The following is a 16,602-nucleotide window of genomic DNA, read 5'->3' on the forward strand; positions in this document are numbered from 1 at the left end:
CTCTAGAGTAGTATTTGGGTAGTATCTGGGTAGCAATTTCCCCTTCCTGGACAGCAATTTGATTCAGTGGGTCCGGGTTGAGGCACAGTTATCTACATGTTAACAAGCTCCATGGGGTCTTCCAGGTATAGAAACCACCCCTACACTTGGTCACCCCTCTACCTACCAGCACTGCACAGAGGGCTGAGAGGTCCCTATGAAGGGACTGCTATGGGGACATCCTCTGGAACCCATACATCAAAGGGCTCCTGACCACTGGGTCACAAGTCAGAGCCCTGAAAACAAACACCAGCCTTGAAATCTCAAACAAAGAATGCTTAGAATGGGACAGAAAGGTCTCCTCTTAGACCTGTTGACCTTAGTGGCTTTGGTCCTGGCAATATCCAAGTGATGCCTTCAAGCCTCTTGTGTAACCAATCTCCCAATATGTGCTGAGCCCCTACTTTGTACAAGACTGTGCAGGGGGGCTAAGATGGGCAAAGAAAAGTAAGCCCTAGTTGCAAAAACTCTACCAAGAAGATCAGACACGTACACTGAAAAAGAACCCACGTTACAGAGCAGTGTTGTTGAGGATGAAACAAAACACAGATCCATATCTGTGTCATATAAGCTTGCTCGATGTAACTCAACAATTTCCAAATCCACTTCCTGGCAGAACCATCTTTCCTGGTTCCTCAACCCCCACCCTGGGGATTCTGATTCAGTAAGCCTGAGGAAGAGCCCAGAATGTGTCTTTTTTGCCAGCTGTGAGGTAAATCTAAGGTAGGCAGTCCATAGGTGGACATTTGAGATTCTCACAGTGTGTTGAGGGTCAGGCTGCAAAGAATTTAAGGGAATCTATCTTGGTTCCTTCTTTATATTAATGGTTTGCTGCTCCTCAAAATTCTTAACTTACTCACATTGGCCCCTAGAATCTAAGTCTGTTTGGTTTTGTTCCTCTTAGGTCAGTCATGGTCTATGCTGTCTTCCTACTTGAAACTTCCTACTTAGGGCCTCCTTCATGTTCCCAGCAGAAATCTGTTTTCTGGAAAAGGGTGCAGCTTTACTCCTCAGGAAAACACACAGGAAAAAAAAAAGCCCATGTCCAGCCATGTATCATATGATTCAATTTATACCATTTATATTGAATGTCTAGAATAGGCAAATCCATACAGATAGAAAATAGATTAGTGGTTGTAGAGGGCTGAGGGAAGTGGAATGGGGAACAACTGCTAATGGGTATGGAGTTTCCTTTTGGAGGTGATGAAGACATTCTGGAATTAGCGGTAATGACTGCACAACTTTCTGACTATACTGAAAAACCACTGGATTGTATGCTTTAAGAGGGTGAATTTTATGGTATATGAATTATATCTCAATTTTTGAAAAGCCCATGCATAGGTAACACATAAAACATACAGGTGGGTCACCTGGCTCCCTGGGCCCTCACAACTACTGGGTGATGACCCCTGGGCAAGAGGCAGGGCAGCCAATGACAATAACTACCATTCACTTGTACTTATTATGTGGCAGACAGACATTCATTACACACAGTACATGGTTGGCTCAGTACATGGTTATCTCAGATAAGACATCATTACCAAAGATGTGGATATTATTATGATGATATTGTTATCACTAACATTTTAAAATATGACAACACGAAGCCATAGTGAAGTTAAATAACTTGACCAGTCCACAGCTAGTAAGTGGCAAAACTGATAGCTAGGGAGATGTGGCTTAATAGGCACCAAAAGACCCCTGCCCCAAACCTTGCCCCAAACCATGTCCCTCATGGATCTGTCATTCTTATCATTAGATTTGCGGAAAGTAGAATAATAATAATGGTGGCAATAATGTTGCTGAGATGTATTGAGCGCTTTCCAGAAATCATCCTCGATTTATAGATGTGAAAACTAAGGCAGAGAATGTTTAAGTAAATTGCCCCAAACCACACAGCTAATAAGTGATGGAGCCAGAACTTAAACACAGACCCTAGTGCTAAGCTGCTCAGTCAGAGATCCAACTCAGATGTCTGCAGGAGCAGGACAATGATAGTGTCAAGTGGGCCCCATATAGCATACCTTGAAATACAAAGCAGTATTGACTCATCTTTGATTCATCTATAGACATGTGGTACAATTTTCTCCTAATACTAGGGGAAAAAACAAAGCACAAGATCAGTGATAAATGGCAAATGATGCTTTGCCTCAATGTTGAGGATGCAAACACGAGTGCAGAAACTATGGCAAATTGGAGAGAGAGCCACTTCACCCAACAGGGCTTCCCCATTCCACTGTAACCCTCCACCTCTGGGTGGGTGTGCAGTACAGTGTTGCCATATTTTCTGAGATAAAGCCAGAAAGACAGATCTTTACAGAAAATCTTTTTCATTTTTAAAAGATAGTAAAGAATTCTGCAGACTACATTGGTCTGTAGCAGAACACTCTTGACTTCAACACATAGTAAATTGCCTCCTCAAGCAGTTCTATGTGACTGGGATTTAGAATTTGGGGTGAAAAGTGACAGGGTGAGTCAAGAACAGTGAGGAGGAGCCAGGGTCTGAAGACTCTTGACGCACACCTAAGGAAGCAGAACTTTATTTTCTAGGCTAGGGAAAGCCAGAGCTTTGCTGTTCTGTTTTAAGAAGGGAAAGGGACCAGATCACAAAGACACCTCTAACGATGTGAAGGTAGAATAACCAGGAAAGATAGCCAAGGCAGTGAGACCAACTGGGAGGTAACTGTAATTATCAGCCCCAAACTAAGGTAGTAGCAATGGAGGCAAGAGCATGTACTCAAGTCAACAACTAATAGCAAAGATCTTCCCTGATAGACAATAGATGTGATTGTATCAAAAGGGGGCACACATATACTCTATTAGATAGCTATACTGGTAGTCCCTTGATTTTTTTTTTTAAAAAAAACACTATCATAAGGAAGAGGGAGACATTAGCAAATGTGAGGAAGAGCACTATGAGAGAAATAGAGAAGGGTTACAGGATACAACTTGTTAGAGGCTGGGTTTGGCATATGAAAGGGAAAGAAAATGTTCTTGGCTGGAGAAGAGACAGCTCTAAAACTGCCTAGGAAAACAAAAGTGAATGAGGGAAATAAAGAAAACACATAAAGAGTTCAGGTATTAAGAAATTAAGAAGAAATATGGAAAGCCGGCAGGGAAAAAAACAATCAACCAATGAAGAACAGTGAAGGTCCCTAATGTCCAGATTTAATGCAGATGAGAGAAACCAGTGAAGGCATTTTAAAAAGATGTTGTAATGAAGGCACCAAGAAGATTGCTTTAACAGAGACTGAACTCAAGAATAGAGACCACAATGGAGGCATTTATAAGGAGTAGAAGGAAAAGAAGACCAAAATATGGGAAAGGATTTTAGTGATTGGAAACTCACAGGCAAAGATGAGTCTTAGAGATGTCAGAAAGGAAAATATGACAGGATTCTGGAATATTCTCAGAGTGAAAATAAGGTCTAATCTGTAAAATATACAAAGTTCTCTCTCCACAAGTGCTTAAGAAGCAGCCCTGAGGAGTGCCAAAGATAACACCAAAGCTGCATTCCGAGGGCATGAGGAGGAGAAAGCAGTTACCAGCAAGTCCCTGAAGGGAAGGGAGCAAGGATTTTAGCCCTCACCAGGCTTGGTTTCATTGCTTGTAACATCATCCAAATCAGAATAAAGCGTTCAACAGAATGGACTTTTCCAGAAGTAACCTTGTGATGGCTCAGAGCATTCTGGGAGAGCTGCAATAGTCAAGAAGACTGAAGCAAAAAGGAAAAGCCTCTGCCACACACAGTGCAGAGATAGAGGACCAACAATAATGGCAACAAAATATCATATTGAAAAGCATTAAGTTGTACACTAAAAGGGAAGAAATATAAGGAGGTAGGAGGAGGTAACATCATTGACAACAATGTGAAAGGGCTGTCATTTAGAAGTATGTCATGTTATGTCTGGTATCTTACATACAGTATTCCATCTAAGCCTCACATTAGATATGCAAAGTTACTCTGTTTTGCAGAAAAAAAAATGTAGAGGCTATGTAAAGTTGGTTATTTGCTAAAAGTCACTTAGATAATAAGTTTTAGAGGCAAGGCTTGTTGGAGTCTCAAACTTATGCATTTTTCTACTATACCACACTGTTGGACTATGGACCATCTTCCAATCAGATTACTGCAAAAGCCTTCCTAACTGATATTTCACCCTTTACAATTCTCCTTTCACTATGTAACTCAAGTAATCTTTCTAAAATGCGAATTTCATCATGGTGCTTCCCTGCTCAAATCCAGTCAAAAAATTCCTTTTGATCTTAAGATGGAGTCCAAACCACTTAGCATTCCCTACAAGGCCCTTCAGGATCTGTCCCTACTCACCTTCCCAGCCTTATCACAAGCTCCTCTCATTGCAGCTGACAATGCAATGACTCTTAATATATTAAAGTCCCCGGAATGCACCCTGCTCATTCTCACCTCCAGGTCTTTGCACACTTTGTCTCTTTTGCCTGAAGCACTCTTCCTGACCTCCTAAACTCTCCCCTCAGTCAGTCAATGCAACAGCTTCTCTTCTCTCATAAAATTTAACACACTTTATTGAAATCCTCTCCACCAGTTCTGAGGTCCCCACACCTCCTAACTGGGAACTACATGAGGAAAGATCCTGTTTCTATCTTGTTCACATTCACACCCACCTAGTAGTGCCCTGACATATCATAGGTGTTAAACACATATCTTTTGAAATGGATTAATAAATTGGATGCAGTGGGGCTGTCACTGGTTACTAAGTTAAACTATGGGTAGAGGCAAAGGGCATAACTAACACCAAAGCCTCTACTTTTAATGTCTGCAATTTACTGTCTATAGCTGAAGATTCTTTTCTTAGGCATCTCGAAAAATTCAACATTTAGGCTGGGCCTCCTCTGGCTCACACCTGTAATGCCAGCACTTTGGGAGGCCAAGGCGGGCAGATAACTTGAAGCCAGGAGTTCGAGACCAGCCTGGCTAACATAGCAAAACCTTGTATCTACTAAACATACAAAAATTAGCCGGGCATGGTGGTGTACACCTGTAATCCCAGCTACTCGGAAGGCTGAGGCATGAGAATCACTTTAACCTAGGAGGCAGAGGTGGCACTGAGCAGAGATCATGCCACTGCACTCCAGCCAGGTGAAACAGCAAGACTCTGTCTCAAAAATAATAATAATAATAATAATAATAATCTACATTTAACAGAGCATATACTCTATGCACTTCCTGTGCTCAGAGCTATGAGTAATTCTAGGGACAAGACTCAGTTCTTGCCCTAAACAAGCTTGCAGTCTAGTGGAGTAGCCTTCATATTCCAGTGTGTTACAATTCACATTCTCTTTAAACCTTTTTAGAATTTAGTTGACAAGGGATCCTTGACAGTCTGTTAAGCATTGGGTAACTGCCAACTGACTGATCACTAGCTCCAACAAGACTACAAGGGGCTTGAGATTCGAGACTGAATCTTCTTCATCATTATCATCCCAGTGCCCAGCATAGTGGCTGGTATATAAAAACAGGTTTAAAATAATCAACTGAATGAATGAAAGAATAGACAAATGAACAAGCAAACAAGCCAAGTCTTGGAATAAAGCTTTGGGATCTGGGTCAGAGTCTCAGCAGGAATTATTCTCCATCATTCAACAGATAAATGACTCAGCAACAAATACTCTAGGGAAAATCAGCCCATTCGATATAAACACACACAGAGACACACACACACACTGCAGAGCCACAGGAGTACGGGAGCAGGACAAAAGAGGGCCAGGGTAGGATTTTGGATGGTTTTCCAGTGCCAGCTCAGGTTCCTCCTGTGACTTTAGGTTCAGAAGGGAGACACTATGGGGCAGGCACACACACATAGAGCAGTGACATGGCTTCATCTGACCCCTACAAACTCAAATCTGCTTATTGAGACACACCATAGCGATAAATCAATGGAAAAACAGGTAGATACATCAATATAGTGCTCATCACATGTTTTCAAAACTTATTAAGAAAACCTTAATTTCACATGGTATTTAAAATGTATGTTAATAATCACCAACACAAATAAATACCCTACTGAAATATCTGAATAGTTGCTATATCTTTCAAAATTAAAACCAAATATCAGAACAAAAATAGCTACCTAAATAGCAACCTTTTCACACATACACACACTCCTGAAATTTACCTGCTGCCAACTTGTTATTTAAATAAACATTTCTGCTACACTTTACCACCAAATAGTACCTTGTAGTCAGTTTAAAAAACCTTTATCAAAGTAAGAGTATGGTATTATTTTGACACCAGACAGTCCTTTGCTTTTGTGTGGAATCACTGTGTTGCCTGAACAGTGTATGATTTCGTTTTTGTGCAGACAATCAGCAGGTCATTAGTGTACCATACAAATCGCCCTGGACTCAGGATGGAGCCCTGGGGAACTGAAGCTGTAATAGACTGGAGGGAAGATATGGTGTTGCTGACAGTTACCTCTGATGGCAGTTAAAAGGTATGATTGCAACCACATGACAGCTTAATACAACAGATCCCTGAATTGTTCACATGGCAAATTCTGATTAATGGTGTCAATAATCATTATAAATTTTTAAAGTTTTGTAGAGGACTCCATTATATCCTACTATCAGAATACAAGACCAACCAGATCCCTTATGAAATAACCATGTTTTATCATTATTTTACTGCCATTGGTTTTACATGTTGGTGAACGTGAATTTATTCACATATGGAAGGTGGTGGGGGGCAGGGGTCTACTGCATATTTACATGGTTCATGAAGAAATTTTTGCATAAGAAAGTGAATGTAAGATAAATTGAAACTCAGTATATGAACCAGAATTTGCCACTTTCACACACACACACACACACACATATGCATGCATACACACAGAGATACACACACAGGATAAGGTCAATTTCACTGTATCCACATCTGGCAATGATGTGGGCATAGTGAAAAGATTTCAGGTTCCCTCCAGAAAGCCCTTAGGTTACAAGAAAAATCATCCTACATCTAATAAACCCATCTTAGATATATCTCCCATATGGTAAAGCCCTGTTTTGCTTTATTCTAACAAATTTGTCCTTGGATTCCTCTCACAGCTGTTGCTGCTATTGTTTATGATGTATTGAGCCCTGGCAGTGGAGTGATGCACTGTGTACAACAGAGTCAAGATTCCCACATCACTGGGCTGTGTGAGCATTAAATGATCTCACCTGTGAAGAGTCCAGAGCACCCAGTATATTTAGGGGCCTGACATGTAATAACTGCTCAAAAAATGGTGCCAAAAAAATTTTTTTAACTAAAATATTCTAGGCACTTAGTCTCAAGAAGAAAAAACAGAGTAGGTTTCTAAACCAGATTACCACCAAGGTAATAAGGATGCTAAAACAAACAAACAAATAAATAATCCTTCCTCACAATTTCCCCCTCACTATTTTCCACCACAGTTTGGTTTGACTTGAGAAACACTGGAGCCTGTATGTGCCCAGCACTGGGCTAGCACTGGAGGCATGGAGATGACTATGGCCACCCCCCAGCTGTGGGTGGCTGCCCCTCTGCTGGAGACATGAAACACCTGAAATTCTTTGAAAGCTGAGTCTTTTGCCACCACAACAGTATTTAGAAAATTTATTATACAAATTCACATAAATGATATAATCCTATAAAGGAAGATATTTGCTCCTGTAACACTTACTATTTAGGTCAGCTGACTTTTTCATATTCTGGTAGACTCCTCCTTAATGTATAGCTGCCATACATACAGGAATCATCTTTTTATTTTGCAATGAGTTACCTAGCATAAGTGAATGATTCAAATGTGCTAAAAATCAGTAGACTAAATTAATGCTGATTAAAAGAGCCTATGATAGCAAGCCTATAGATATAATTCTTGTCTATAAAATATATCATAGCTATTACCAAAGAAATTAATCTAAAACTTAAAATTACCAATACTAGCTAGATGTCAATAAATATTACTAATATCAACAGATAATTCTAATCCTTTTGGTCTATCTGCATGGGTAATCTTCAGGCATGTAGCCTGCAGATTTCCTCAATACTTTGAGTTGTTCAATATCATTACTAATGTTTGGAGGTTCCCCACCCCAAGGATTTCCCTTTCCATTTCTATCAAGTTTCAGCAGATCCTTTTCTGAAGTTTAAGTAAGACAAGCGGCTTGCCTGTTCCATATCAATTTGACTTGGAATTTAGAAGCTAACCCTTCCTCCTCTTCCTCTTCATTTTCCTTACTTTACTAGCCTCATCTCCCTTGTTTTACTTTCTTCTCAAGTTCTTTTTTTCCATGCTTTAAGTATTAATTTAAAAGCTCCCCTTTCCTATGCTCTAAGAAAAAAGAATAGCAGAAGGAACAGAAGACAGGTTTAGAAGGGTGATCAAACATGAAGAAACAAGAATTTTGAAGCTCCTACGCCTTTGAAGCTCCTACTCCTTTAAAGCTCAGCTTCTCTCTCCGCAATGGCCAAAAACAGATGGACATTCTAGAAAGACTAAAAGAAAGAAGATGCTAGGTAGGAGGAGACAGAATGTTGAAGGGAGGAACTCATCTCAAGTTCTTCCTTCTTCTAATCTCTTCTTTCCACAACTCATATGCAGTGGCCTTTATGCTCCTAGTGGAATTGAACCCATTGAAAGTTCAGTATAAGGCTGGGTGCAGTGGCTCATGCTTATAATCCCAGCACTTTGGGAGGCCAAGGCAGGTGGATCACTTGAGGTCAGGAGTTCAAGACCACCCTGGCCAATGTGGCGAAACCCCGTCTCCACTAAAAATACAAAAATTAGCCAGGCATGGTGGTGCATGCTTGTAATCCCAGCTACTTGGGAGCTTGAGGCAGGAGAATCGCTTGAACCCAGGAGGCAGAGGTTGTAGTGAGCCGAGATCACACCAGTTGCAGCCTGGGCAATAGAGCAAGACTCTGTCTGAAAGAAAAGAAAAAGAAAAAGAAGAGTTCAGAGTAGGTAAAAGGGACAAATGGCATGAAGTAAAATTCCACTCACACACACACAAAAAAATTCCCCAGGGTGCCTCTAGATAAATTGCTCAAGTGTTGTTCTCCACCCCTCTCCCAGGCCAACACACAACACTAGGCCACCTCACACCTGAACTTCTGGTTGAGCCAGAAGAGCACTAGAAGTCTGAGGGCAGGGCCAGAAGCCCAGCAGAGCCCCAGGCAGTGGGCCCAGCCATCACCTCTGCAGGGCTGGGACTACATTTGCCCCCCAAACAACCCTCAGAAAGTTGGGTAGGAGGAGCAGTGGGGAAGGTCAAAGGCAACTTGGGTTGGCACCAACGAGGCCTCACTCACCTTCCACCAGGCTCCAACCCTGGCTATCTCAGATGGTGCAAGAGTCTTCTAACTCTGTCTTCCAACTTCCAGTTAAACCAGAAGCTGGACATTCAAGGGAGGGGCCAGGAATGTGGCCAGCCAGGTACAGGGACATTACTGCCACACTTCCCATCATGGCCCACAAGTGAGATCCAGGCCACACAGGTGTACTTGTTGGACAGAAACATTCTGAGATTCTATTTAAAAAGTCTTCTATTCCAGATATTAAACAATCATGACTGCCATTTGCTGGCCGCTTACTATATATGGCCTGGACTCACCACGAAATAGGTCATTTAATTCTAACAACAACCCTATACAGTAGATACAGTAATTACCTCCCCTTTAGATACTAGAAAACTGGAGCCTAGAAGGACAAAAGAAAGTCAATTCCAACTAATAAAGGACAGATTCAGAATTCCATTCCAGATAAAACTGACTACAAAACCCACATTTTTAACCATCATATGTAGAAAACCAACCTTCTACACTTTTCAAAGTACTCCTCCTGGATGGGCCTTCAGAGCACTTTGACCTTGTTTTGTTACAGGAACAGAATTCAATAGCAAGATGGCAAATAGTTTTCCTCTATTTGTCAATGTGCCTGAGGCCAGAAGTAGATTCTAGAAATCAGATAAACAAGTGGCAGAGATAGCCAGGTGCGGTGGCTCACGCCTGTAATCCCAGCACTTTGGGAGGCTGAGGCGGGTGGATCACCTGAGGTCGTGAGTTCGAGACCAGCCTGACCAATATGGTGAAACCCCATCTCTATGAAATACAAAAAATTAGCTGGGTGTGGTGGTGCATGCCTGTGAACCCAGCTACTCAGGAGGCTGAGGCAGAAGAATCACTTGAACCCAGGAGGCAGAGGTTGCAGTGAGCCAAGATTGCACCATTGCACTCCTGAACAACAAGAGTGAAACTCTATCTCAAAAAAAAAAAAAAAAAAAAAAAAAAAAACAAGTGGCAGAGAGAATCCATTTACAAAACAGAATTTGAGGGAGTTAGTGTGTGGGAGCGTATGTTCTGGGCTCAGTCTAGCTCAGAGCTGATTTGTCTCAAGGTTAAAGTATTTCCCTTGCCTTTTGGGGGGAACCAATACATGAAAATATATCAACCATGAACTTTAGTCACAGCTGTAAATAAACAGATAACATATAAACATGTGTTCAAGAGGTCCCTAAAGCATAAGCACTTTGTCCACTAAGTTCTTTATTTTCCAAGTCTCATTTTCCCAAAAGATACTGACTGCCCCAAAGGAGAGGTATAATAAAGTATTGGAAACGTTCTGGGAACTTACTGAAAAAAACAATAGATGCAACAAATGAAGACAAAGTCAATACTGTCTTTATGTTCAATGGCCCCTAGCTCTTAAAATAAGCATACCCTTATGATTTTACAGCAGTTGCAATGATAAATGGAATTGATAATTTAACATATTTATAAAATAAACATTCTGCACAGTTTTTCCCCTTCCACAGAGGCCTTAAGAATCCTCATGATTATGACTTTGGGGGCATTAGGACTATTTATAAGCGATTCTTGTCAGCCCAATCTGCAATTATGATTTCCCCGCCCCCCGCCCCAGCCCCTGTGGACTCTGAAGAGTCCCCTATTTGTAGTTATCAAGGGAACTCCCACTTCCCATGGAGAGAGAATGACAGTAGGATGTTATCACTTAGCTTCCCCATTCTCTCAAAGTCCCCCAACCGAATTTTCAGGATTGCTCTTCCTTTCGTGTACTATGAGACAATAGCAGGTGTTCCCCGCTTCACCCCTTTCTATTCTACAGACTCCTCCAAGGAAGATGGATGCTCCTCTAGAACAATGACCACAAGAAAACAACAGAAGCAAGAAAAGTCAAAGATTATACCTACCCAAATCTCCATCAAAAACAAGACTCAGAAGCCTGCAATCATATAAATAGGCCTATGAGATGACTCAGCTTCCTAAGTAATATGATTTAGGGAGAATCAAAGGATATATATATATATATATATATTCCATTACTTTTATGTATTCATTTTCAATCAGTATTTATTGAGCACTTTCTGTGTGGGAGTTACTAGAAGATGAAGATAAAATGGTCATGGGGTTGTCAGATTTAACAAATAAAAATCCCATATTTTATCTGGCAATTCTAAATTGTCAGCAAGAGACCATGCCTACCACAAGGAACTCACAATCTAGTGCCCTGTGCATTCCCTAAAATTTTGAAATCTCATTAACACCTTAGCAAAACTGATTTATCTGATTAGCTTCAAAGTCCATAACCTGAGGCTGGGCTCTGTGGCTCACGCCTATAATCCCAGCACTTTGGGAGGCAGAGGAGGGTGGATCACGAGGTCAGGAGATGGAGACCAGCCTGGCTAACATGGTGAAACCCCGTCTCTACAAGAAATACAAAAACCAGCCAGGCGTGGTAGCATGCACCTGCAGTCCCAGCTACTTGGGAGGCTGAGGCAGGAGAATCGCTTGAACCCGGGAGGCAGAGGTTGCAGTGAGCCGAGATCGCACCACTGCACTCCAGCCTGGGTGACAGAGTGAGACTCCGTCTCAGAAAAAAAAAAAAAAAGAAGAGAAAAGAAAAAAAGTCCATAACCTGGGAGAATGATACACAGAAGACATAAGTTTTGAGGGAAAGAAAAGAATTAGAAAGGTCCAAGGCAAGCATCAGCAGAATGTCACAGAAGGAGTAACAATGATTGACCGAGGACAACAAAATGGCCCCATGTCCATAGTTGGGTGGTAGGGCTAGGGTAAAGAAATCAAAATGAGGCAACTATTGCTGAGAAACTCAGCTTGTTTCACCTGCATTCCAAATAGGTGACAAGTTCACAAAAAATGTTGTCAAGGTTGGTAAACATTTCAATTAGACCTGAGCAGAACATCTAGTGAGATCTCATGCCAACTTATGGTTTGGGGTGGAAACCATACAAAATGTGGTGGTTTTATAGGGTTTGAACCTGAAAGCAAGCAAAATGTGGTGGTTTGGGCTGTGTTTTTCTTGGAGTTTTTTACATACTCAGGCATAAAAATTCACAGTCAAGCTTGGGAGGTCCAATCTGAAACAATAAAGTTTTCACACTATCCTTTCAGCAACCACAAGGAATAGGCTTCCAAAAGAAGTTGTAGACTCTTGTTTGAATATCTTTTAACTATGGTTGATAGATGGACTAGTTAGGCCATGTTTATGTGACAAAAACTGATTTTGATGTTTGGAAAGAGGAAAGAGGTCGTCTTTTCCTGGACCAACATTACCTACATAGGAAAAAGACAGCAAGACTTTTTTATGCATGCTCTTTGTGTTAATAATAAAACCAGTTAATGATTAGGTCCATTGGCAGAAATTTCTTGGTTAGCCTGCTGTGAGCAACTCCATAGCTTGAATCTAAAGTGAGAGTGGGCTGAGGAAAATATTTGTTTTGTCTTGTATGTCAGTTATTAAAGCCACTTCAAATCCTTCATGGAAATATATGCGGCATAAATAAATGAGAAGTGCCACAAAAGAAGTGCAGAGATGGAAAAAGACATTCACATGGCAAACTTTACCATAGCCCATGCTAGTAATTTACCATTTCCTAATCTTAGGATTCCAAATCCCAAATTGTATTTTGCCCAGTGCAAGATACAATTTCTGCCCCTCCACTCCTTCCCTTTCTTTGATCTCCTTTGTCTGAGCAGGCAACTAAAATCTTCATGAAAACATTTGAGTGTGAGGTTAGCACTGTCTTGGATGTCAAGCAGTACAGGTTCTATAATGGCTTCAGAGTGCCTTGGATGGGTACAAGAAAACAGACTTGGATGACCCTCCGCAAGTTCTTTTTATAACTTTCTGTGAGGTTCATTCTCTGAATCTGCAACCAAATCAAAATATTTACTATGTTCTTTAGTTTGAAAACCTGAATATCCCTTCATCATTAATAGAAATTCTAATGTTCTCACAATGGTGTAAAATTTCATTTTTTCTTTTGTAATTTTGTAGTGCTAAATTTAATTTTCAAGGGGGCAAGGGAAAAGGTTATAAACATAAATTACGGTTTACATGAGCAGAACAGCAGGAATCATTATTATTATCACTTACCTCATATATTTATTAAGTTATTCCAGGAAAACCTAGTTAATTTACATCTTGTGCCTTTGAAACATTTGATAACTCCAAGTTGGGGAATTGGCTTAACTTTTCCTTTGGTAGAAGAGAGTTTACAGATCTAATTAAATTAGCTTTGCAGGGGGTGATTAATCTCCTTAAGGAAATAGACTGCTTTCAAACACTCCAGTAACAACTGTTTCTAATGATTAATGAAATAAATACAAAGAATTCTGGCCTACTAATTAAAGCAGATCCAATTATGAGTCTTGGCCACAGAATATTAATCCCTGGCTTATGTAAATATGTTATATATAATAGATTACAATATTTTATAATTCTGACATATCATAGTTTATACTGGTCTTCCCTAAAATTAGCCTAAGACAGTGAGGGCTTCATTGTATTTCTGTTCAACAGTTGTAGGCGCCCAAGATGCCAGCAAAATACATCTAAATAGCTTTTTGAAATGTTTATGATCCCTCCAGTCCCTGTTAACTATAATATGTGATGACATAATTGGATTCATTGGAAGCCCACTTGGCTAGGACATTGTGGTAGTTGAAACCTATTAGCACTCAAGTAAATAATCCAAATCACCATCCAACGAATATGCATAAACCATATATTGAATAGTACAATCGAATGTCTAAGGATTGGACAGGTAACCCAACATGTTTATAAGTTCTTCAATTAAGATAGAAACTCACCAAAAATAGTTTGTCCTGAAAATGTCAAGAATTCATTACAGAGCCCACAATCAAACCTCTTCATAAAGTTACTCAGGGAGAATAACAGGTTCCTTTTAGCACTCCTTCCTTTTTTTTTTTTTTTCCTTCTTTTTTTGAGGTGGGGATCTTGCTCTGTCACCCAGGCTGGAGTGCACTACAGTCTCAAACTTCTAGCTCAAGAGATCCTCTCAAGTAGCTAGGACTACAGATGCACACCTCTATGCTTGGATAATTCTTATTTTATTTTATTTTTTTTTTTTGTAGAGACAGGAGTTTTACTTTGTTGTCTGGGCTGGACTCAAACTCCTGGCTTCAAGCAACCCTCCCACCTTAACCTCCTAAAGTTTAGCACTCTTCTTGAGAAATACTAACTAGAGAAAACTAAGGACAGAAGAATCCATCCAATTACAACTTATTTATAAATGTAAACCAAACAGAAAGAAAAAATTGAATACGTATTTTTTCAGTGTACATATACTGAGTATTTACTATCCATCAGGCTCAGTTGTGAGTTGAGAAATATAAATATTATGTTGTGCTTGCTACAACTTATAGTTTAAAAAAGGAGACAGATAAATAAAGCAACAATTACCATAAAACTTGCAAAATGCTGTAAAAGAAATAAGCAGAGGATACTACGGAGGCATAAAAACAGGCACCTAATTCCAAGCATTGGAGATTTCCCCAAGGCTAATGTCACTTGAGCTGAGCTGGAGAGGTGAGAAGTCAGCCAGGTGGGCAATGACCAAAGGAGGGCTTTCCAGAATAAGGGGATAGCATATGCAGAAGTAGAAACTAAAAGGACTTGTTAAACATTACATTAACGCTAATATTAAGCATTAACTAGTATTCTTTGATCATTTACTTTTCACAAAGCAACTTGGTAAGCATTTTACAGGCATTTGTCTCATTTAATTCTACCATTACCATTTAAACCAGTTCTATTATTATTCCAATTGTACTGAAAGAAACAGGTTTAGAGAAGTAAAATAACTTATTGAAGATTTTTCAACAGTCTGACTCTAAAGCCCCCCACCGCCACTAGACTCTAACTGCCTCCCCAGCTATGCCACAGTGGTGCTTGTCTGTCCTCTGTAGGCAATGAAAAGCCACACAAAAAATTTTAGGTGAATCTCCTAAAAGTAAGCACAACATTTTTTTAATGTGAAAATGACTCCCTTTTTTTGGTCATTTAAAAAATCCTTTGGTTCAATACCTTGATTATGTCCTTGTTAAATTTGATTTCTATCTTGTTCAGAAAAGGAATCATGACTTAAGAAGGACCTATTGTGCATGTGAATCACAACCCCCATAATGAAGAGAGAGGTGAAAATGATGCTGTTTCCAATAAGTAGGGATGGGAAGTGTCATGTGTCACTCTGATATGCGATACAGAAATCAACATGAGTTGTCACACCATGCATACAGGGTAGGACTTATCATTTATACCTACTCTTATGGAGGCAGGGTCAGATTTCTAAATCTAAATACTTTAAATTCAGAATACTTCTCCAGCAATCTTTGCTTTTTAATTGATGGTCTTTAAAGGGCAAGATTTGCTTAGAACCATGTTTAAGAGAGAAGAGTGGAACTATAGTGATCTAAAATGATCTAATTTTCTAGAAAATTACTACTTTCTCCAAGCTGTATAAACTTTAATTAAGAAGACAAGGAGGTCTATTCTCTCTTCTTACACACATACCACATACCAGGCTCTTGGGATACTGATAAAAGGAAGACAGTGGACTGAAAAGATTAAAATTTTTAACAAAACTCTAAATATAATTAAGATGGAATGTTTACTGCCATCTTTAAGGACCAAAAAGTAACCAACATTTGTTGCTCCTCTGGAAAGAAAATATCTTTCACTTCAAAATATGGGTAAAGTCAGCTTATAAAGTAATCTGTAGAAAGAAATTAAGTCACAAGTAAGACAAAACAAAAATCAGCTCATATGAGCACAATACATTTTTCAGCTAAATATCACCAAAATAAGCATTCCTGGGACACTTAATGCGATGCTTTGTGCATCTGTATCCAATAACATGTTCTCAACATCTCCTAAAGGGATATTTTGGTAGCTTCCACTACATATTCTCTAGAACCTGACTTTAATGGTAGCAGATTTAGAAGAACAGATAAAAAAAAAAAAAAAAGAAGGCCACTAAGGTGAGAGCACACACTGAATATGAAAATATCCTCCACAATTCACAGTACATAATCTATGGCCACAAAAGGTTTCTCTTCCCCTACTTTCTATTCATGTGGCTCTCTTTCACCTGCTTTCTCTCCTTGCCCTCTTTCTCCCTAAACTTTCTTTTCCCACTTGAGTTCTCCTACCAAACCAGTTCTAAAATCACTTCAAAAGGACATATTTGAAGCAAAGAAGTTTAATGTACTTTGTCCTACATGTA

At 39.8% G+C, this 16,602-nt stretch overlaps 1 long non-coding RNA gene across 1 annotated transcript in view; it reads right to left on the minus strand.

Annotated features, from left to right (window-relative positions):
- The window catches only part of DLX6-AS1 (DLX6 antisense RNA 1), a 45,551-nt gene that overhangs the window by 2,117 nt on the left and 26,832 nt on the right, over positions 1-16,602 (minus strand). The window contains exon 2 of the long non-coding RNA NR_015448.1: positions 7,716-8,960. This is a non-coding gene — a long non-coding RNA (DLX6 antisense RNA 1). The remainder of the gene's footprint in view (positions 1-7,715; positions 8,961-16,602) is intronic.

This window comes from Homo sapiens, chromosome 7 (genome assembly GCF_000001405.40).
Source record: "Homo sapiens chromosome 7, GRCh38.p14 Primary Assembly".
Taxonomy (NCBI): domain Eukaryota; kingdom Metazoa; phylum Chordata; class Mammalia; order Primates; family Hominidae; genus Homo; species Homo sapiens.